General features: G+C 53.8%; 1 protein-coding gene and 1 pseudogene across 7 annotated transcripts in view, besides 3 other annotated features; both read left to right on the plus strand.

Annotated features, from left to right (window-relative positions):
* CD82 (CD82 molecule) overlaps positions 1-7,406 on the plus strand; it is a 55,950-nt gene extending 48,544 nt beyond the window's left edge. For 6 of the 7 annotated variants that reach the window (XM_047426900.1, XM_047426903.1, XM_047426904.1 and 3 more), the window contains 4 exons: positions 2,320-2,421; positions 5,210-5,413; positions 5,688-5,771; positions 6,097-7,406. In XM_047426900.1, coding sequence (XP_047282856.1) covers positions 2,320-2,421; positions 5,210-5,413; positions 5,688-5,771; positions 6,097-6,174 — 468 coding nt within the window. In that variant the 3' untranslated portion in view covers positions 6,175-7,406. The remainder of the gene's footprint in view (positions 1-2,319; positions 2,422-5,209; positions 5,414-5,687; positions 5,772-6,096) is intronic. The other variant, XM_047426901.1, reaches the window with a different exon arrangement.
* Positions 3,465-3,814: an enhancer, noted in NCBI's record as "active region_4660". NCBI's record gives its function as "activates an Ori minimal core promoter by ATAC-STARR-seq in GM12878 lymphoblastoid cells {active_cell/tissue: GM12878}" and the evidence as "EXISTENCE:reporter gene assay evidence [ECO:0000049][PMID:35858748]".
* Positions 15,451-15,510: an enhancer, noted in NCBI's record as "active region_4661". NCBI's record gives its function as "activates an Ori minimal core promoter by ATAC-STARR-seq in GM12878 lymphoblastoid cells {active_cell/tissue: GM12878}" and the evidence as "EXISTENCE:reporter gene assay evidence [ECO:0000049][PMID:35858748]".
* On the plus strand, positions 16,405-16,722 carry RPL34P22 (ribosomal protein L34 pseudogene 22; annotated as a pseudogene).
* Positions 22,168-22,956: an enhancer, noted in NCBI's record as "H3K4me1 hESC enhancer chr11:44656670-44657458 (GRCh37/hg19 assembly coordinates)". NCBI's record gives its function as "activates a minimal SCP1, AML or CMV promoter by ChIP-STARR-seq in naive and primed H9 embryonic stem cells {active_cell/tissue: H9 hESC(naive and primed)}" and the evidence as "EXISTENCE:reporter gene assay evidence [ECO:0000049][PMID:30033119]".

The following is a 23,159-nucleotide window of genomic DNA, read 5'->3' on the forward strand; positions in this document are numbered from 1 at the left end:
CAAGGGAGCTGGGTGAGGAGCCAGGGCTGCAGGTCCATCTGCAGGATATGGGTTCTCTGAGCACAGCGTTCATTCAAGGACTGCCCATGGGGAGCTGCTGGAAGCTCCACCAACAGGGTTCCCTGGGAGTCAGGCTCTGAAACCCCACCTGGAAGTACCTGTCTCATTTCTCCCAATTCTTCCTTCTCAGGAACCGAGGTGGGAAGGTGTGTGGCCTTCTCCTTGGCATCCCTGCCTTCTAGGGTCCCTCGCCCCCACTGCCTTGACCAGTCCAACCATGCATTTGCCCTGAAAGGTCTCTGGGCAAGGTCCATGTGAGAGGCTAGGTGGAGCCAGGCAGGGGCTGGCTCTCGGAGGCTCCCCTCCCACCCAGGCCTGCTTATCGCCGAGGGAGGCCCTGCCCTCAGCGGGCTCTGGGTTTGCCTCCTTTTGCACAACTGACTTATTTAGAAACCCCTTCTCTGCCTGCTTTGTAAATCAGTGTTTTCTCTGTGGGGTTAGCTGAGAGCAGGTGCTGCTCTCCACCACAAGAAGGAACCCTTAATTCCTGAGCAGGGTGAGGACCAGCATAGGCAAGATGTAGATTTGGGCCAGGCGAGGTGTCTCAGGCCTGTAATCCCAGCACATTGGGAGGCTGGGCTGGGTGGATCACTTGAGGTCAGGAGTTCGAGACCAGCCCGGGCAACATGGCGAGACCCTGTCCCTGCTAAAAATACAAAAATTAGCCGGGCATGGTGACTCATGCCTGTAGCCCCAGCTACCTGGGAGGCTGAAGTGAGAGGATTGCTTAACCCCAGGAGGCAGAAGTTGCAGTGAACTGAGATCCTGCCACTGCCCTCTAGCCTGGGTGACAGGGAGACCCTGTCTCAAAAAAACAAAACAAAGCAAAACAAAAAAAAAAAAGTGAGATGTTTTTGGAGCTCTGGGGCAAGTAGCCAGGTCCCAGAAAGGCAACTGACCTCACACTCCGGCTGGCTGGCACTGCTGGCTTGGGGCTTGGGAAGGGGTGAGGGAGGATCTTTTCTGTTTTGTTTTTTGTTGTTGTTGTTTTTGTTGTTGTTTTTGTTTTTTGTTTTTTGAGATGGACTCTTACTCTGTCGCCCAGGCTGGAGTGCAGTGGTGCGATCTCGACTCACTGTAACCTCCATCTCCTGGGTTCAAGCAATTCTCCTGCCTCAGCCTCCTGAGTAGCTGGGATTACGGGCACCCACCACCATGACTACATAGAGGGAGGATCTTTTGACCATATAGTTGATACCGAAGTTCCAGGTCCCTCAGTCTTGGGGCCCCCTCCAGGCATCTACCCTGCTGTCTTGGGGGCCCTGTTTGGAGAGGCTGCACTCTGGTCCTTGGAAGAAGGAAACTGAGCTGGGCTTTCCTCCCTGTCCCTCCTTCTCCCTGAAGCTGCCCTGTGGGAGGTGTAAGGATTCACCAAGAAGTTGCATGGGTCTGGCTCTGGTGCCTGGCAGACCATGGTGGTTAGGTGTGCATTCAGCATTCACGTACCCCACACAACTATTCTGTGCCAGGCTTGGCGCTAGCCACGGGGGACCCTGTAGTGAGCGTGCCAGATGTGGTCCCTGCCCCCACGGAGCTGATGTGCTAGTGGAGAGAGATGATAAGCCCTGAAAACCAACAAGCATGTAACGTCAGTGCTCTAAAGAGAAATACAGCATGCTTTCCCTTGTGGGATAAGGGAGGCCGGGGAGGGGTGGTTGATTGGTTGGGGGAGAGGGGATGGGGAAGGGCTGATATTTTGTAGAGTGGTCTGGTAAGGCCTTTCTGAGGAGGTGACATTGGAGCAGAGCCCTGAAGGAAGCAGAGGGTGAGCCATGTTAATGTCTAGGGGAAGAGCATTCCAGGCGGTGGGAACAGCAGGTGCAAAGGCCCCAAGGCAGGAGTGTGCCTGGCACAAAGACAGCACAGAAATCTAGTCAGTTGAAGCAGAGGGAGGAAGAACAGAGGACAGAAGGCCTGGGGAGGCAGACAAGTGGTGTAGGACCTCCTAGGCTGTTATGGGGACAATGACGGTGGGAACTGCCCTGGAGGTGGGAGGCCCCTACGGGGTTTTCAGCAGTGACATGAGAATATTGATGTTTACAGGGCCAGGCTGCTGCCAAGCGCAGAAGAGATAGTGGGGCAGGAGTGGTTGGCACTGCCTGCATCGGGCACCCTGGGAGCGCCAGGAAAGTGGCTGGAGCCATGAGCGTGTCCCAGGGTTGCTGAGGGGAACGGGGGGAGGCAGTTTAAGTAGGGGTGACCACAGGTGGGCACGGGTTTCAGGAAATCTGACCCTGACCTTTGTCCTCCCCCCTGCAGCTGAAGCAGGAGATGGGCGGCATCGTGACTGAGCTCATTCGAGACTACAACAGCAGTCGCGAGGACAGCCTGCAGGATGCCTGGGACTACGTGCAGGCTCAGGTGAGGTGGGGCGGGGCTGCAGGAGGCTCTCTGGCCTGGGTGTCCCTGCATTTGGGGCTCTGTGCACCCACATGTCTGGGACTGGCATCTGCAGTGCTCGTGTGTGCCTGACAGTTTGTAGGAGAGTGTGCTTCTATGGGGGCAGGGCACCCCAGTTAGCACCACAACTCCCTGCTCAGGGGGCCCAGAGACTCAGAGGCAGCTTCACAGCTCTGTGCTCCCATTTGTGGCCAGAGAGCATGGGGGCAGTTGTCAGCCCTCTTATCTCAAGCTACACTGGGGAGCGTTGGGAGCTCCACTCTGGGTTTTAGGAAACTGGGAGCCAAGGCTGATATGCTGAGAAGTCCCAGTGAAGGCTGCCTCTGGGGAAGGGCACTAGCTGGGGAGGTGTTGGGGAGCCTTCTAGGGCAAAAGGAGTATTTTAGCCAAATCTTGATACTGGTTTCGCCAGTATGTGCACATACGTAAAAATGCACCAAGCTGAATGTGTGCCCATTAGTTCATGTGTATTATACCTCCATTAAAGTGAGAGAGATGGATGGATGGATGGGTGGACAGATGGACGGACGGACTGACCGACTGACCAACAGATAGACTGACCAGGTTCCCAGCCTGTCTCAATAGTGATCCAATGACCACCTGGCTCTCCTTTCTTGTGGTCCCGGATGCTGCATGTGCCCTTGGCTGGGACCTGACATCTCTGATCTGCAATCCTGTGAGGGCGCAGGACACAGTGGTCACTTAGGGCCTGTTGACACCTCAGGGGAGGGATGTGGAGTACAAAGGGCATGGGCAGCAGGAGAAAGCCTGACTCAGCGGCACCAGGAGAGTTTGCAGAGAGGACACTCCATCTAGGTGACATGGACATGGCCATTTTCTCAGTGGAGGAAGGGGAGAGCGATGTTTTCTGGCCCTGACCGAGGAGATCAGGTGTGGGGGTTGTGGCAGCTGGAAGGCTTGGTGCACACAAGGAAATGTTTTGGTCGCATATGTAGTTTGACCCACAATTGCTGAGACTTTGCTAATTTTAGCAAAGTCTGGATGTCACCAGTGACATAAACCAGTGCCACCTGACAAGGGACCTGGGAGGAGAAGTGGGTCCCTTGGGAGGTGGTAAGCATCCTACCCTGGAAAGTCATTGGCTGGTTCTAGATGATTCTGATGCTGTCAGATGCTGCTTAGGCCGGTGGTAAGTCAGACTCCCAAGGCCTGGAGTGCTAACACTGCCACAGCCGCTAGACCTTTGCTGAGCCTGCTTCCTCATCTATACAATGGGGCTACTGACCCATGCCGTGTGAGATACATTGTTAAAGCCTGAAGCACTTAGGCAGCATTTATTATGTGGTATGTTGGTGGTGATGTTTTAGTCACCATGCACATCCATGGAGACACAGGCGGAGGTGGCGTGTGCTGCTGGGGACCAGGTACAGCCGGAGTCAGGCCAAGGGGTTGCTTGGAAGGAGGCTCTGTCGTAGACGGGCCAAGGAGACCTGCCTCATTTTGCTCTGGTGTAGGATGGCCTGTGGGTGCCCCCAGCCTTGCAGACCTGTGCACCCCTCAGAGGTGCCAGCCTTTTCTTGGAGAGAGGAGGCAGCCCGGCTGCTGGAACAAGCACCTGTAAACCTGGATTAGAAACTGCCTGGAGCTGAGCATTTCTGAGTGTGCCTGGCACGCCCCCTGCTGGCCACTGGCTACTGGTCAGGCGACACCCCTCGGAGCTAGGAAGGAAGCGGTCCAGGAACTGACCCCTGCTGTGACCGTGGCTATCCCATTGAATCCTCCCAGGAACCCCCAGCATTGCGGGGATTCACACACAGAGACCTCCTTTAGCACACAGAGCCCGGAAAGGCTTTCTTCTCTCTAGAACTAGAGCATTTTCTCCTTTAAAATGGCAGAATTGACCAGCTAGCCAAGGTGGCTCACACCTGTAATCCCAGCACTTTGGGAGGCCGAGGCGGGCGGATCACTTGAGGTCAGGAGGTCAAGACCAGCCTGGCCAACATGGTGAAACCCCGTCTCTACTAAAAATACAAACATTAGCCGGGCGTGATGGCGAGTGCCTGTAATCCCAGCTACTCAGGAGGCTGAAGCAGGAGAATCGTTTGAACCCTGGAGGTGGAGGTTGCAGTGAGCCAAGATCACGCTGCTGCACTCCAGCCTGGGTGACTGAGCAAGACTCTGTCTCAGAAAAAAAAAAAAAAAAAAAAAAGGCGGAATTGACCCCGTCTCCTTTTTCACTTTTCACTTTTTTTCCTTTTCACCAGGAAGCTCAGAGGCAAATCTCAACTCCTGCACTAAAGTTGAACGGCCTTTCCTAAGCTTATTGTGCTCCCCACACCTATGCTTGGTACTTTGCCTGCCTCATCCCATTTAGTCCTTGTGATAGCCCTGTGAGTTGGGGATTTTAATTATCCCCATTTACAGATGAGGAAACTGAGGCTAGTTCCTTGATGGAGGTTGCTCAGCTGGTAGGCGGCAGGGCTGGGATTGTAACCCAGTAGCCTGACTTTAAACCCTGCACTGTGAACTGTCTGCCGTCCATTCTCCTTGTGCCCTGCACACCTGCGCTCCTTCAACTTGAACTTCCTTCCTACTCTGCTTTGTATTTTTGCTGGTCCTGGTTTTGATTTTTCTGCTGTACTTGTAGTTTATGATGGTTCGGCTGGGACCAGGGGCCTGGAAGTGGCATATCTCAGTCTCTGTCCTGGGGAGGTCCTCCCTCTGCCAGGAGGGCAGCCTGCCTAGGGTGAGCCGTGAGCACAAGCAGTCTGTCCCCTGCCTTGCCCAGGTGAAGTGCTGCGGCTGGGTCAGCTTCTACAACTGGACAGACAACGCTGAGCTCATGAATCGCCCTGAGGTCACCTACCCCTGTTCCTGCGAAGTCAAGGGGGAAGAGGACAACAGCCTTTCTGTGAGGAAGGGCTTCTGCGAGGCCCCCGGCAACAGGACCCAGAGTGGCAACCACCCTGAGGACTGGCCTGTGTACCAGGAGGTGTGCGGGGGGCTGCGGATCGGGGGCGGGGCTCCGAGGGCGTTGGGGGCCATCTGGGCTACTGCTCAGCAATTCCTTCCTGCATTTAGTTCCTTCCCTTAATTCATCTGTCATTTGTACCTTCATCTACTTCTTTGTTAATGTATTTATTCAAGGAACAGGCAGAGCCCTCTGTAGGGGCTTCCGGGCTGGGACTGGGGGGCTCTCGGTGGTTCTGCATGGCGGGGTGGGATGGTGCAGAGCGGGGTGATGTGACCGCATTCTGCCCTTGCAGGGCTGCATGGAGAAGGTGCAGGCGTGGCTGCAGGAGAACCTGGGCATCATCCTCGGCGTGGGCGTGGGTGTGGCCATCATCGAGGTCTGAGCCCCCTCCCCCATCCCTTCTCCATCCCAGGTCCTCCTGGGTTGTCTCTGTTCTGCTGATCTCCTTGGGGAGGTGGTGGCCAAGGGGGCCAGCACCCCATCAGCTTCCAGAGGCCCTCTGGTCTGAGCACTGTCTGGCTGTGTGACCTCAGACAAGGCACTGCCCCGCTCTGGGCCTCCCTCTGCTGCCTGCATCACAGGGTGGTTGTGAGGCTCAAGTTGAGGATCCACTTAATCCCCATGTAAACCTGGATGGTGAGGCTGGGGCGTCTGAGGCCGGGACACCCAGCCTCCCTCTGACTCTCCGCCTCTCCCCACAGCTCCTGGGGATGGTCCTGTCCATCTGCTTGTGCCGGCACGTCCATTCCGAAGACTACAGCAAGGTCCCCAAGTACTGAGGCAGCTGCTATCCCCATCTCCCTGCCTGGCCCCCAACCTCAGGGCTCCCAGGGGTCTCCCTGGCTCCCTCCTCCAGGCCTGCCTCCCACTTCACTGCGAAGACCCTCTTGCCCATCCTGACTGAAAGTAGGGGGCTTTCTGGGGCCTAGCGATCTCTCCTGGCCTATCCGCTGCCAGCCTTGAGCCCTGGCTGTTCTGTGGTTCCTCTGCTCACCGCCCATCAGGGTTCTCTTAGCAACTCAGAGAAAAATGCTCCCCACAGCGTCCCTGGCGCAGGTGGGCTGGACTTCTACCTGCCCTCAAGGGTGTGTATATTGTATAGGGGCAACTGTATGAAAAATTGGGGAGGAGGGGGCCGGGCGCGGTGGCTCACGCCTGTAATCCCAGCACTTTGGGAGGCCGAGGCGGGTGGATCACGAGGTCAGGAGATCGAGACCATCCTGGCTAACATGGTGAAACCCCGTCTCTACTAAAAATACAAAAAAAATTTAGCCGGGCGCGGTGGCGGGCACCTGTAGTCCCAGCTACTTGGGAGGCTGAGGCAGGAGAATGGTGTGAACCCGGGAGCGGAGGTTGCAGTGAGCTGAGATCGTGCTACTGCACTCCAGCCTGGGGGACAGAAAGAGACTCCGTCTCAAAAAAAAAAAAAAAAAAAAAAAAAATTGGGGAGGGAAGGGCGTTAGATAAGGCACTCTGGGCTGTCAGGAGACTGCCTACTGGGTGGGTCAACTTATTTCCCACTATGACATTTATATCTTTATTTTTCACAATTATATTGAAGGCAGTGGGAGAGGGGAGAGGGTGGGTTTTACCTGATATTAAGGGGTGGCACCCCTTCCCCAGGCCTGATGCAGGTCCATCTAGACAGCTCAGATTAGCCTAGGCCATGCCCTAGGGACACGGCCTAGGGGAGCTGGGCTGGAGGGGGTCTGCCTGGGTAAGGGGATCTGGCTTGGCCCTGAGCTGCTTAGGGACAGGTGAGTCCTTGGGGGCATGGCACAGAGCTGGTCCTGTATTCTCCAGGGTCCGGAGCTGGCCAGGGGCGGGGAGGAGGAGGATGGCTTCTCCTGGGAGAAGGTGGGCTGGCCTTTCTTGGCAAGCGGTCCTCTGGCCCCTGGGGAGTGGGGTGGGTGAGGCTGTGCCTTGTAGGGGGAGAGGGGAGGGGGCTTTGTGTGCACCATTCTGTAAAACACACTCAAGATTCTAAGACTATTAAAGAGGATTTATAACAGTCTAGTCTGGAATGGTAGGGATGCTGCTTCCTGGGGCAGGGGAGGACCCAGGGCAGAGGGTGTGAGCAGAGTGGCTGGGTCTGCTGGAGACTGCTGGACCCCTCACTGCTCTGCCCTCCCCGCAGGCATCTGCTTCTGCAGCCTGAACCTTAGGACCGTGATGGGCCAGGCTCTGATGGGCCTGCCTGCATGCCGGGGTGCCTGGAGTTTGATTTGGTGCTAAGAGAGGTATAGATTGTACCTCTCAATTCCTGCTTCTGAAACTAGGGTATGGGTGCCCCCAGAAGCTGCACAAAAGTGGGCTGGTGATGGGGGACAGGGAAGCCACAGGATAAACTTGGCATCGCTTTCTAGAGCATCCGTTTCTGCAAAGATTTGTGGAAGGAAACATTTTCATACTAAAGAAATGTGATGGAGTAAGATGTGCAGAATTCAGGGGACTTTTTAAGATGAAATGTGAGACTTTGGGAGGCTGAGGCAGGTGGATCACTTGAGGTCAGGAGTTCGAGTCCAACCTGGCCAACATGGTGAAACCCCATCTCTCCAAAAAATACAGAAATTAGCCGAGTGTGGTGGTGCACGCCTGTAATGCCAGCTACTCAGGAGGCTGAGAAAGGAGAATTGCTTGAACCCGGGGGATGGAGGTTGCAGTGAGCCAAGATTGTGCCACTGCACTTCAGCCTGGGCAACAGAGCGAGAATCTGTCAAAAAAGAAGAAAGGAAGAAAAAGAAAACGACAGAGAGAGAGAGAGAAAAAGAAAAAGAAGCTTGCTCTTACTTGTGCACGGCTCTGACGACTGAGCCCCAGCATGCCCCTTGCCCGGCGTCATGAAGTCCAGAGGGCACTTGCCCCACCTTCTCTCATTTCTGGAGCCAGTGGGGAGGGGAACTCTTGCCTCCCTGCAGTGGGGCCAGGCGGGGCGGCGGCTAGAGTGGTGTTTCAGCAGGGACCACCAGGCGGCGCTGCAGCCTCAGCCTAGGAGCCCGGCAGAGCCCAAAGGTTCCGTGGTTACTCCCAGTTTCGCCAACGCGGGGCCTGCCAGCGTCCCACTCCAGTGGAAGCACTTGTGAAAATGCAGATTCCAAGGCTCAAGGATTCTGGCGCTGCAGATCTAGGGTGGGGACAAGGAATCTGCCTATTTGCACCCCTTTGCGTTGATTCCGGAAGATTTTCAGACCTGGAGTAATGTCTGTCCCAAGCCACGTGATGACCTCTCAGCGAATGTGGCAGCTGAGGAGGTGTCAGCGGTGGGGTCGGCTGTGGGTCCCTCTGTGGCCTTGGTCGCCTCCCTCTGGGATGGGGGCAGGAGAGGAAAATGTCGATGGTTCCACCTGGCCTGACTTCCCTGGCCCCCCACAGCTTCCACCCTCAGGAAGGGTAGCAGAGAGCTGTTGGGTGTCTTTTCATAAATGCTTTCTCACTGGGAGCAAGGGGACCTGAGTTTGAGTCCAGCTGCATCTCCATCTTCCTGTGCGACACGGGGCCTGGCAGGCTGAGGGTGGGCTCAAAGCTGTTTGCAAAATAGAGGACTGAGAAAACGTCAGAAGTTAGCGAAGGGGTGGGCTGCTTCCTCTGACACGTCCATCCTGCCCAGAGCTCACAGCTGGAAGGGGCCAGAGCCAGGATTTGAACCCCACGTATCTGACTTCAAAGACCATCCTCCTGGCTCCACTGGCTCCTGCCCTTCCAGATTTCCCAGAACAGCCCCAGGACGTGTGTAGTGTGAGGCTCTGACCCTCGCTTTTGTGAAATCTGGTCACTGTGAGCTCTGAGCCTGCTGGGTTCCTCATTTCAACCTCCTGGGGAGCACCCAGTTTCAGCAACCCACTTACTCCCAGCCTGTGAGGTTTTGGGAGGGAGGGAACATAGACCCATGTCTAACACTCAGAATCGTCCCTGCAGCCACTAATCTGTCCCATGCCCATCTGGGGCTTCCACACCTTCCAGCTGCCCTCCCTGGGCCCTCTGTGGGCTGCCATCTCTCCTGCCAAGGGCCCTGACAGGCCCAAAGGACTGGCACATGGGTACCATGTGGAGGAGAGTACAAGGGTGCTCCTTGGCAGTGCCCACCCACAGCTCCCTGGGGCAGCCAGGAAGAATGGCTGGAGCAAAGGGTTGCTCTTTGGGCTCCCGTGGGAGGTTAGAGACAGTGCCTAGGATGTGTTCAGGGAGCTGGACTTTGGGGGGCACTGATTGGCATGGCCACTGACCAATAGGTATGGAAGTCAGGCCTGAGCTGGAATGGGATCCTTACGTATGGATTGGCGGGAGGTGCAGGAGCTCTGAGAGATTGAGCTGGGGGGGAATTTTCAACTGGTGTGGAAATATTTCTCCATTTTATTCATAATAACTGGTATGGCTGGCTGGGTGAGTACTGGTGAATGGCAGCCTGATACATGTGCACATACATGCATGCACTCTCTCACACGCACACACTCGAGGCCCTGAAGGCCCCTGAGGGCTCAGTCCATTCCCAGCTGGGAGGAACCCTAGCTCTTCTTCCCTGAGACTAAGCCATGGGTGGCCCGTAGTGAACAGGGAAAGCCAAGTGTCTTCCTGCCTGGCCTTCCCGGGCCTACACTGCAGAGCCCCCTCTGCCGCTGATCACCATCCTGTCTCCTAGCAGAGCTGCCTCCAGCCTCTGCCCCAGATGATCTTCCAGGTGAGCAGGTCCCCCAGGCTGAGAGCAGCCGGGTGGAGGGGCACACTGGTGACGCTGGAGCATCTAGCCAACAGGCATCTCCTGGGCCAGCGCTCCCATCGCCTTTCTCCCCTGCAGAAGGACAGAGACCCAGGTTGCTACGCTGCCTCGGGGCAAATGTCTGGCTGTTCTCTGGGGTCTTTAGAGGCTGTAGGCTAAGGTTTATTCATTTATTCATTCATTCATCCCATGAATACTTAATGGCACAGACTATTTGTGAAGCACAGTTCTAGGATCTTAGGAACACAGCAGTGAACACACACAAACCCCCTGCCCACATGGCACCTGCATTCTGATGAGTGTAGAGACTCTTGCACACAACTGATGCACCAGGACACACGTGCACACACAGCACACGCATGCACACAGCACACCCTGCCACACGTACACAGGTACGTACCAGCACACACTGCCGACTGCTGACAGCACAGTCTGAGCCAAGTGCTGCTGTGGGATCCCTGGGGCCCATCCAAGGCCCCTTCCTGTGGAAGGAAGTAGAATGAACAGCGCGTCGAACAAACAGGAAAGTAGGAGGAAGTGCTCATCGCCCCTGCCACAGTGCAGGAATCAGCCATTGCCCTGGCAATCCCCTTCCCAACTGAAATCAAATAGAATCAGAGCAGCTGCCACTGGACGTGACAGGCTGTGCAACTTCACCTCTCTTAGTCTTATCGGGAAAATGGGGACTCTCATTCCTCACTCCCAGTGCTGTTGTGGGAGCCAAATGCGGTCACGTACACAGTGAGCTCATTCCCCAAGCAGCCCATTCCAGGACTGGCCCCAGCTTCAAGGGGAGGTTTCCCATCCTCTGGGGGATACCTTCCCTGAGTAGGAATGAGGCCCACGGGAGGACTTTGGGCCTTGGTGCCTCCGGGGCAGGGATGGCTGATTGGCCCAAGGGGCTGGGGCTGGGGCAGGTAAGACCTGTACTCAGCCTCTTGCCTAGTGGGAAGGTGAGCAGGTAGGAGGGCCATTAGAGGACATCTGAGCTGTGAGCACCCCGGCCCCCAGCTGTCCCATCTGACATCATTTCCCCAGCACCTGCCTTCTGAGCAAGGGGAATGTCAGGCCCAGAGCCAAGTGCCTCTCCCCAAGTGACCTCAGATGCTTTAAGCAGTAGCCCCTGGGATAGGAGTGGGCTTCCTGCAGGATGCTGGGGGCAGAGGGGCGGCCAGCCAGAACAGCTGGGAGTGCAGAGGGGCTGTGTGGAGGTGGGGAGTGGAAGGAGAGAGCTGGAGAGTCTCCAGCAGCCTCTTGGAGGACTGAGTGGGCGGGAAGGGATGTTAGTGGCAGCTGATAGGAGTGGAGGGGTCCATCCTCTGCCCTTGCATCACACACCTGGGTGAGCCCAGCTTGGGGCTTCCAGGGTGACAGGGGCCCTGTGATCCCAGCACCCAATCCTCTTGGTCCTGGTTCATAGAGGACTCAGGCGCTTGGGGTGGTGTCTGAGTTCTTTCCATGGGGAAGCTGTCGAGGAACCCACTTGGTGGGTCAGTGGGGGTCTGGTAAAATGGAAGGAGAGAGGCCTGTATTAGTCCATTTTCACCCTGCTGATAAAGACATACCCAAGACTGGGCAATTTACAAAAGAAAGGGTTTTAATGGACTCACAGTTCCACGTAGCTGGGGAGGCCTCATAATAATGGAAGAAGGCAAAACGCACGTCTCACATGGTGGTAGACAAGAGAAGACAGAATGAGAGCCAAGCAAAAGGGGTTACCCCTCATAAAACCATCAGATCTCCTGTGACTTATTCACTACCACAAGAACAGTGTGGGAGAAACCGCCCCATGATTCACTTATCTCCCACTGGATCCCTCCCACAACACATGGGAATTATGGGAGTACAATTCAAGATGAGATTTGGGTGGGGACACAGAGCCCAACCATATCAAGGCCCTTCCCCAGAGGGGCAGGCTCTAAACCCAAGGGAGCCCACAGAGGGGAGGAACAGAGTGGGAGTAAGAATAATGCTATGAGCAGGACTGCAGCTGGGGGAGCTAGGAAGATGAGCAGGGCTGACCCTTTGGGGTGAGGTAGGACTCGCAGCAGGCAAAGAGGGAGCAGGGCAGCAAGAGGAAAGTGCAGGCAGCCACTGCGGAGGGCATGGTGGACCCCAGCAGCCATGGGACCCTGTCTCCTTCCCAATCATCATCATCGTCACAGCAGCCACCAAGGATTTAGTATTAAGCTTTAACCCTGACACCCCAACAGTGTAGACACACTTGCTCCCCCCACCCCTTTACAGTGTGGAAACCAAAACTTGGAAAAGCTAAGCTGTTTGCCATAGCCCTGACCAACTACACAATCCAGGAGTCATTCACATTGGATTCACAAATCCACCTTCAGGTCCAGAGTCACAGTGACTGAAGAAACTGGGGTTGGCCCCTGGGGCCTGTGACTCTGTGTGCTTTCCAATAGTTCTCAAGGCCAATGGGAATGAAGACCCCTGGTTCATAAAAAGAGGAGAGGAGTAGGCCTTTTCTAAGGAGGCACAAGTCCACTAAACCCAACTTTTCCTCCATCAATCTATGCAATAAGGATTTATCAGGCACCCACTCTATGCCAGGCACTGTGGAAGGAATCAGGGGTCACCAAGGTAAACAAGTTTGTGGAGCTGACAGTCCAGTTGTGGGGGAGGCACAGGGAAAAAAACACAAAAACAGCAGAAAAAGCGCCCCATGTCAGGGACAGAGAGGACAGCAAAGGTGATCAAGGCCCTGTCTCTACCTGCCAGGAAGTGCACAAGGTAAGACAAGCCGGTCCCCAGGCTGGCTGTTGTCCCTTGATGTCCTCATTGCCCGGGGCACTGTGGAGGCTGCCACTCCACCAGGACATGGAGGAATGAATCCAGTCCCATGGGCTGACTGGCCCAGAGTTCAAGAGGATGCACGGGAACCAATCACAGTGTGAATGCAAATGAGAACCAGGCACCCCCTACCCACAAGGGGAACTGATCTGGGCCTCCTGTCTATGTGGTCAGGAAAACCTTTTCCAAGAGGCCAACGGAAACTATCTGTAGCTTGTGATGATCTAAAATGCCTCGTCAGGGATTGCTTAATGAGTTTATTTAACAGACAGCTGGGGCAGAGGGGTTGTCCAGGTGGGCTGTGTGTATTTCCTTCCTCTGAGGACTGAGCAGGGCAAGGACTCCATCCTGCATCGGTCTATGGGGGATGCAGGTCATCAGACCCCCATGACTCCATGTGTGGGATGCCTGTGCCTGGTCCCATATGGAGTCTGGTTTCCATCTCCTTCAGAAAAGGAATGTGAAGGTGGCAGCCTGGCTGGGACTGGGGAATGGAGAATGGAGTGGGAAAGCCACGTGGGAGAGCAACCAGCTTTCCTGCCAGTGTCACAGGGCAGAGTGAGCATCTAGGGTGGGAGTCATGGCACTGGGAATTGAGGGACTTGGTTCTGTCTCAGATGTCCCCTAATTAGTTGCATGTGGTCATTGTTTGCAAAAATAGTCACATGTATTCCCCTCCCTGTATCTATGCTCTCTGCAACATGACTATACAGCTAGCACCTCTCTGATGGCTGGTCGTGTGACCTTCTTTGGCTAATGGAATGTGGGGGAAAACACAGTGTGTCAATTATAATCCTAAGTCTCAAGGAGTTTTGCACACTTCTCCCCACTTCTTCTCTCTCTCTGCCTCACTCTCTCAAAACCTGCCACTGCCTCATGAAGAAGCCCAAATTAGCCTGCTGGAGCATGAGAGGCAAGTGGGTCAGTACTCCATCATCCCAGATGACAGCCAACTTACCCCCAGAAGCAGAACCACCACCCTACCTGCAGCCAACTTCAGACGCAAGAGAAGACCAGATGAGCCACCTAGCTGAGCCCAACCTAAATGGCTGACACACACACAGAATCATGAGCTAAACAAATGGTGGTTGTTTCGGGCCCTAAATTTGGGGTTAGTTTATTACACAGCAATAGCTAACTGATAGGATAGGTAATCATAATGACAGCTACCATTTGCTGAAGGCCTATTGGACACCAGGCCCAGCACTAAGCACTTGACATACATTGCATGAGTCCCCTGACTCATTTAATCCTCACAATAGCCCTGAGAGTTGGTATTTGGATGCACACTTTATAGATAAGAAAACAGAGGCTCAGAGGAGACATGAGTCTGGTCTAAGGTTGCTGAACAGTAAGAGACAGAGATCAGATGAGAACCTAAAATCTGTCTTCATGGGCTCGGTGTCTGAATCTCCCTTCCAGAGGAGCCTTAATGTCAGAGAGAATCAGCATCACTTGAGAGACTGTAATGTATTCTGCACACGGGAGCTGACATCATTAAGAATGTTCTCAGCCTTCCGTCCCCAAGAATTATGCCCTGTCTCACCCTGTTCTTCTCTCACCCCCAGTCAATGCCTCTAATTCCCTTGGGCTTCTGGAGGGAAAGACAAAAGACACAGATGAAGGGATAATTTATTTCTTTTTGATCCCACCTGCTATTTAATCAGTAAATATTTACAGAGGGCCTGCTATGTGCTAATTTCAGAGTGTTCTGTCTTTCATGACACATTTTCTGGGTCCCTATGGTGTGTTCTCACTCAGCCCATGTAGCACCAACACAAGGGTCATTGGGATTATCCCCACTTTACAGCCGAAAAAACTCTGAGGTTCCAGAGAGGTGAAGTGGCCACCTTGAGGTCACTTAACTATAAGTGACCAAAACAAGATTCAACTCTAGGTTTGGCTGAATTCAGACAGGGTCTCTTCTTGCTCTATCACCACAGCTGTGGCTTTTTTAAAAAAGGGATTTTGAAACTTCCCCTGGGCTCTGTGTCTGGCAGGTAGGGGGCTGGAATGTGGAGAGGAGAAAGGCTAGTGGGGCTGTTGGAAAATGTCCTCTGACTCTCAGAGCTGGCTGGCTCCTGGGCTGGGCATGGTGCTCAGGCTCAAGCTCTGGGTAATGCTGTGAGCTGGCCAAGGAGGTCGCATGTCCTGGAGGGAGGAGAAATAGCCACAGGCTCCAGCCTGCTTCGCTTGTGTCCGCAGCTGACAGCCACAGCCATCGCTCATCCCCACCCGCCCCTCTGCTTAGCTGCTGGACCTCTGCCATCTTCCACCACCAGGCACTGGGCACTGGGCCCTACCCCTCCCCGGCTGCACTGTTTACAAATGGGAAATTCAGGGAGAGTCCACCCAGGCTGTCTTCTCCTCCCAGGGCCATCACGTCTCTGGAGTTGGGGCTTAGCCACAGGTCTCTCAAGGGTCCCAGAGCCCACCCCTGACCCAGGGTTCCTCTTTCAGACTGGAAGCAGGCCCCCACCCAGATGTCCTGACCAGAGTCTAGCTGCATGGAGCCCTCACCGGTGTGTGGGAGCAGGAGGATACAGAGGTGAAAGGCTGAGAGGCCTGGGGGTCTTTTAGGCACTGAGGGAACCCACTATCCTGCAATCACACATGGTTGCCTTCCCCTGGGGCAAGTTGGGTGCTGGAAATATCCCTGCCCTGGAGGCCCTTACTGGCTGAGAAACCTTAGACCAATCACCTGCCTCTCTGGACCTCCGTCTCCTCATCTTGAAACTGAACAGAAATATTCTCAGAGCCACATAACCACACAGACACCAATATGAATTTATTAAGTGTTCAGCAATTTGCACACATGATCTTAGCTATTCCCACAATAACCCTAAGACCTGAATTCTTAGCGAGGTTAAGTAACTTGCCCAGGGTCAGGGTGAGTGAGTGACCACAAAAGGTTTGGACTCAGCAACCCTGACTCCCAGTCCAGGGGCTCAGCCTCGTGGCTACCAGCCTCCTTTCTCAGGGTGGGTCATACCCGCAAATGCACAGACGCCCTGCCCGATTCATGGGCTGCAGGTCAGGTCATGCTCCACACTGGCTTGCTTGATGCCCTGGATGAAGTTGCTGACCCCTGGGGTCTCCTAGTGCCCTAAACTCCTCTGCCATATCTCCATCATCAATGAGCTGTGCTCCTCTGGTTCCTGGAACAATCTCCCTTTTTTCTTCCACCTAACTCCTTCTCCTCCCTCAGATCTGCCTTCAGGGAGCTCCCCAGACCATGGCCCCAATGACAGAGGTGGCCTTGCCCTCCTGCCGCCCTCTCTGTGGGGAGGGCCTCCCCTGTGCAAATGCCTGGTCCAAGGGTTCAAATCCAGACTCTGCCCTCTCTTTTAGTCCCTCCTCTGGGAAATGAGCATAATAATGGTCCCAACCACATAGGGTTGTTTCCAGGACTAAGTGATTTAGCACAGGTTCAGGCTTAGAAAAGCTGTCAGGTTTTTAAAAGATGTCTGGAGTTTAGGCAGTCAGCATGGCCCAGCGTGTAACACACCGTTGTAGGCTTTCCTATGATACAGCCTCTAACAAAATTCGGTGTCCTGAGTCCCTGGCAATAGAATTGTTTACTTTTATGCCAAGATGGTCTGGAAGGCACTGAAATCTGCATGTGGTGTGTGCCCAGGCAGAATCCGCAGTTCTTATGAGGTTGTCTAAAATGAAAACACACATCAGCAAGGCCCATGGTGGTCCCGCACGTGCTGAATGTGTCTGGGAAAGGAGTCGATGTGCTTTCCTTATGGTGGAGCAGGAAATTGTTGGGAAAGTGTTGAAGGCACAACAAGCACAGCGTGTTTAGTTCAGAAAGCTAAAGAAAAACAAAATGAAGCCTTTTTGAGTAATTACAAAAAAGAAAGAAATTCTGTGGATGTGGAGCAAGCTCTCCATGCCCAATGGGCATTTTCCCCCCAAAAGGCGCTCTCCTGATAGTCAATGATCATTGCTGGTTGAAGTCTGTGTCTTCTCTGCTGAACCCTAAGTTCCTCGAGGGCAGGGAGGGCTTCTGGTTCATTCCTTGCCCTGTCCCCAGCTTGGAGCATGTGCCTGGCATATAATGAGCATTTAATGCATATTTGTTGGATAAATGAATGAATGAATATAACGGGCCCCATTGTCAGTAGCAGAATGAAATAATGGGATGCAGAAGAGAACTCAGGCAACATTGAGTTCTTTTAGAGAGGAGTCCCGTACTTGTCTGACCTAATAATCATCTGTGCCTTCTGCTAGAAATCCAGATTCTGGGGCCCCAGCCCTGGAGATTCTTGTTCTTTGGGTCGGGGCGGGGGTGCTCTGGAAATCAGGGCTTTTTTTTTATTTTATTTTGAGACAGAGTTTCGCTCTTCTTGCCCAGTTCTTGCCCAGGCTGGAGGGCAATGGCACCATCTCAGCTCACCACAACCTCCGCCACAACCTCCAGGTTCAAGCAATTCTCCTGCCTCAGCCTCTTGAGTAGCTAGGATTACAAGCATGCACCACCACGCGAGGCTAATTTTGTATTTTTAGTAGAGATGGGGTTTCTCCATGTTGGTCAGGCTGGTCTTGAACTCCCGACCTCAGGTGATCCGCCCACCTCGGCCTCCCAAAGTGCTGGGATTACAGGTGTAACCCACCACACCTGGCCGGAAATCTGGGCTTTTAAAAGTACCTCGGTTGATTCAGATACACGGGCAGTTTGAGAAGTGCTGGCTTAGAGCAAAGCTTGGAGAGGAGAAAAGTGAATATACTGCTTACATGTCTCAGAGGGTTGGGCCGGGGTTCCTCCAGTCTGAGATAGAAGAGAGACCTGGCAGGCTTCCTGAAGGAGGAGGCATGGAGGCAGTGTCGAGGATGGGTGCCAGTCTTCCAGGGAAGGAAGAGGAGAGGTGGAGGGGTGTTGCCACCAGTGGCCCAAAAGGATGGGGCTCCAGCCTCCAACCTCACAATGACCACCTCTAGAAGTTGGAGGAAGGTGGCTGCAGCCCCAGTGTGTGACAAGGGTCCTATGAATCAGGATGCCCCTGGGGGAAAGGACACCCTGAGCATGATGTCCTCTGTCCACTCTGCTTAGGAGGAAATGGGGGGCAGCACTTTCTAAAGGAGGCCCAGTCAGGACAAAACCTCAGGCCTGGGATTAGCCCAGTGGGCCTTGCCTGGAGGTGGCACCTTACGCTCTGGAAGGAGAGCTGCCCCAGCCTAGAAGGGCTGGGGGAAGGAGAAGAAAGAGGGGTCGATGATGGTCAGCAGCATCTGCCATTTCTATCATGATCCAGAGGAGGGGTGGCCAGTCTGGAGTCGCATGGCAGGTATTAGGACTAGAACTCAGTGAGGCCATTTGGAACATACAATGCCCATCTCACTGCCTCCCACCTCCTGAGCACAGGCGGGCCATTTTCCTGTTTTCGGCCCAGCACAGGCGCGGGGAGAGAAGGCAGCAAGAGGGACTTTTTTTTTTTTTTTTTTTTTTTTTGAGACAGAGTTTCACTATTGTTGCCCAGGCTGGAGTGCAATGGCACGATCTCGGCTCACTGCAACCTCCACCTCCCAGGTTCAAGCGATTCTCCTGCCTCAGCCTCCCGAGCAGCTGGGATTACAGGCATGCACCACCATGCCAAGCTAATTTTGTATTTTTAGTAGAGACGAGGTTTCTCCATATTGATCAAGCTGGTCTTGAACTCCCGACCTCAGGTGATCTGCCCGCCTTGGCCTCCCAAAGTGCTAGGATTACAGGCATGAGCCACTTCGCCTGGCCAAGAGGGACATTTTATTGTTACATATTGACTATGAACTTAGGCCTTATGAAGTCCAGCCCCCAGGAAACCTGTTGTAAACTGGGGTCTTTGTTTATGTCTGTGTGCGTGTGCATGTGTGCGTGTGTGTGTGTGTGTCCACATATATGCTGTGGGGGCTCCTGAGTGTGTACAGGGATGTTATTGATTCTTTACTACTGTATCCTGAGTGCCTAGCTCAGTGCCTGGCATGTAATAGGTGCTCAGCAAATGAATGGGTGAGTTCCAGCGTGCCCATATATGTGTTGTCAGATGAAACTCAGATCTGTAGGACCCAGGGAGCCTCCCCAGAGCTCCGGAGAGGGCAGCACTTCCACAACCTTAGAGTTCAGGCTATTTTGGGAGACAGGAAGGATTTGCAATCAGGAGACCGAGAGCCACCCTGGACAGCCAAAGGTGAGCCACATTCGCCAGGCCCTGGAGGAGAGAGAAGGCAGGGGACACAGCAAGTGCCAAGGCTGAGAGGTGTGAGATGGGCAAATCCAGAGCAAAAGGGCACACTGGGGTTAGACTGCAAGAGTCAGCAAAGACGCCAAGATACAGCTTGAGCCGCTGAGTATGCTGAAGCCTGTATTTCCTGGGCTTGGGGACCCTGGGGAAGGAATGCAGCTGGGGGGAAATGAGGGGTCCTATCATGGAATAAGAGCCATGGTGGAAGCTTGGGCCGAGAACAGGCTAATGGCCCGACTGTTGAGGGTATCAGAAGCTCAAGTGACTAGAGAGAAGGAGACGTTTGGTCAAAAGGATTTCTTTGGAGGGAGATCTGGGGATGCTTAGATTTCCAGCCCCTATGAGGGGCTGTTTTGGAAATGCCTGCCCCTCTCATGGCTTGGTTAGAGCGTCCCAGTGGATTATGAGAAGATGGTAACGTGTGTCTCCAGTGAGTTGGGGATGCAGAAGCCTAGACAAAGTTGGCTCCCACCAGGAAAATCTAAAAAGGCCAGCAAGGGGCTGCTATCTGCTAGGAATAAACAGAAGATAGATCTGAGGTGGGATTGGCTGGGATTCCCCAGAGTTCAACAGAGTGCAGAAAACAAGTATATTTTCTGGGGTTCAAACATGGGCCTGGTCTGCCAAGAACTTTGACAAAACACAGCTCTTCCTCCTCCTCCTCTTCAGAATTATGTGGACAAGTAAATCTGGGAAGGGCTACAGCAGAGCATGAGTGTGGGGTGGGCATGGAAAGCCAGGGTTAGAGCGGGCAGCAGCCACCTACAGGATGCCCCTGGCCCACGGTGTGGGAAGTGCAGCCAAAGCCTCCCGGGACAGGAAGGAGGCGTCCAGAAGAATCCACAGAGTCAGCCCTGCCCCCTGCCGGGCCCTGTGAGCAGAAGCCATCCCACAACAGGACCGGTGAGACAAAACCTTTCCTTCCCGACTCCTCTCCCTTCTGGGCTATGCCCTGGCAGCCCCGGAACTGCAAATACAGAGTGAGTGTCCCTTATCCAAAATGTCTGGACCAGAAGTGTTTTAGATTTGGGATATATATATATATATATATTTTAGACAGAGTTTCACTATTGTTGCCCAGGCTGGCGTGCAGCGGCACATTCTCAACTCACTGCAACCTCCACCTCCCAGGTTCAAGTGATTCTCCAGCCTCAGCCTCCCAAGTAGCTGGGATTACAGGCATACGCCATCACGCTCGGCTAATTTTTGTGTTTTTTAGTAAAGATGGGGTTTCACCATGTTGGCCAGGCTGATCTCGAACTCCTAGCCTCAAGTGATCCACCCACCTCAGCTTCCCGAAGTGCTGGGATTACAGGCATTAGCCGCCGTGCCCGGACAAGATCTGGGATATTTTTGGATTTGGGAATATTTACAGATACATGATAGGATATCTTGGGAATGGGACCCAAGCCTTAAACACAAAATTTATTTATGTTTCATATGCATCTTCCACACATAGTCTGGAGGTAATTTCTACACTATTTGAAATAACTTTGTGCATGAAACCAAGTTTGTGCATATTGAACCATCAGAAAGCAGAGGTTAGGTGGAATATTCTACACTCGTAGTGTCATGCCATGGGTACTCAAAAAGTTTTGAATTTTGGAGCATTTCAGATTTTGAATTTTTGAATTAGGGGTGCTCAGTCTGTAGCAACATGCGGGAAGAGGGGCATGGAGCAAGGGCATGTGCAGGGGCAAAGTAGGTCCAAGCCCCTTCTCCAGCTTGCTGCCTGCAGAGGGCAGCAAGGGCAGAAAGAAGGGTTAGCTTTGAACCAAGTTCAAAGATGCAGTTACTACCTCGGACCAGACACTTTTAATGCCAACCTGACTCTGTATTTGCAATTTAAAGTGACCTAAGAATTTTTATCACCTAACCGGGGGCAGAAAACTTGTGGGGCTGCCCGAGTTTTCATCCAGGAATGGGGGGATGAACTTCCACCGGAGAAGGAATCATAAAAAGTAAAAAAAAATAAAAAATAAAAATGTTGGGTGACAAGAATAAAGCTGTTTTCCCTTTCGCCTGATTTTGCTTATCTAATGCACTGGTTTCTGTCATTACGGCTGTGACTCTGTCTCCCCTACTAGAATGTGGGCTCCTGAGGGCGGGTCCCTGTCAGATTTGGCTGTGTCCCTCCAGCATCTGGCCCAAGGCTGGGTATTTGATAAACCTCAGTAGATGCTAATTTTCTCTCTTCTTTCGCTTGACCCTGGGTGTTTATAAGAGGTGGCATCAGGTTCAGAGGGTAGCCCAGGGTCTCACGGATGTGGACAGAGATTTGGCCCATCCTTCATGGCTCCTCCAAGCATCAGTCATGTAAATCAGTCAGGCAGTCCATCTGCCAGTGACGGGACTCAACGGTCAGGCGGTCAGACAGTTGGGCATTGATCAGGGGATGGCTGGCCGCCAGCCTTGCCAGTCAGATGGACAGACAGTCCGAGGATCACTCTGCACTCAATCTGATACAGACACCGCTTTGCAGGGTCCCCTCCCAGCACACCAAGAGTGTCTCTCCTCTCCCAGAGTCCCCCCCTTCCCAGGAGGCCTGGTCTGGGGTGCTCCTGGCAGGGTGCCCGTCCCTGATCACCGACTTGGCAGCCTCCTGGATGCTGGCTCCAGCGATGCCCCTCCTCCTTCCCCTCCCTCCCAAGGTGGGAGCTTCAGGCTCTGCCAAAGCATTACTAAGCCCGGCGGTGACGTCACCCTCCCTGGTCCCACCCCGCCCCCGGCCGGCTTACCCTTCACCCCTGGCTGCCCCTGTGAGAATGACACATCCTGGGTGGGGGAGGGGCTGTGCCCTGGGACCAACATGAAGATCCTCCCCCCACCCCAGGCTTCCTGGTGGGTGGGATCTGGTCTGATGCTTCCCCAGCTGGAGGCTGCTCAGCTCGAGCAGTTATAGTCCTGGAGACCCAGCCAGACGTACCCCAATGCACACTGAGGCTCTTCCCCTCACCAGCAGGGTGGCCCTGGACAAGGGACTTTATCTCTTTCAGCTTCATCTCGGATGATAATAGGACCTGCCTCCGGGGGCGAGTGAGCGGGTGTGAGGCTTCAAAGACACCATGCACCGCAAGCCCCTGCTCCACTTACAAGGGGACCTTCAGTCCATCTCGGTTGCCTGTGGGGTGTTCACTCCGAATTCCTCAAGGTCCATTTCAAAACTAAATGGCTGGTCCTTTGCTGTCAGGGTTAGCTGAAAGACAAGGACTTTTCACCAATGCTGTCAAGCTGTGAGGTCAACACCCATTTCCTGGGATCACAGCAGCCATCCCGCGGTGTGGGGGGCCACGTGGGAGTGGGCCTTGGACCTTGCTGCCCGTGGAAATTCTAAGCACTCCTCCTCACTTTGATTGCAGCGATTTTTCCTCCTCATTGTGGCCAAAGGCGCAATCCCAACTCCCAGCACTGGCTCTTCTCTCTTCTTCCCAAATAAATACCTGAATGGAGGTTTTATTCAGGAACAACCTTGAAATACAACCAGGCCATCAATCTCTATCCCCCAGCACCTGGGGTCTGGAGCCCCAGAATTCAGAATGCTGAAGGTTGGTTGGCTTGGCATTGGGAGGAGGAAAGCCTTCCTCCCATTCCTCCAGGGAGATCAGAAGGCAGCAGGGTCTGCTGTAATCTGCCCTGCCCAAGATCTCTGTCTGATCTCTGGAAGATCACCTGGGCTGCCCCAGCAGGTGCCAATGAACCAACACTTCAAGGGTGTCCCTCAGAACATTAGTCTTGCCAGGTGCTTCACAAAACCCACACCTACACACATCACCACCACCAAAAATCACATAATAGTAGTAAGAGTTATGTGGCTTGCTCAAGGTGGAGGGTCTATAAGAGAATTCCTCATGAAATTGGGATCTTACAGAACTCAATTCCTAGTGTAAGGGTAAAGAATAAATAACTCCAGCCGGGTGTGGTGGCTCACACCTGTAATCCCAGCACTTTGGGAGGCTGAGGTGGGTGGATCACCTGAAGTCAGGAGTTCGAGACCAGCCTGATCAACATAGTGAAA

This window comes from Homo sapiens, chromosome 11 (genome assembly GCF_000001405.40).
Source record: "Homo sapiens chromosome 11, GRCh38.p14 Primary Assembly".
Classification (NCBI taxonomy): Eukaryota; Metazoa; Chordata; class Mammalia; order Primates; family Hominidae; genus Homo; species Homo sapiens.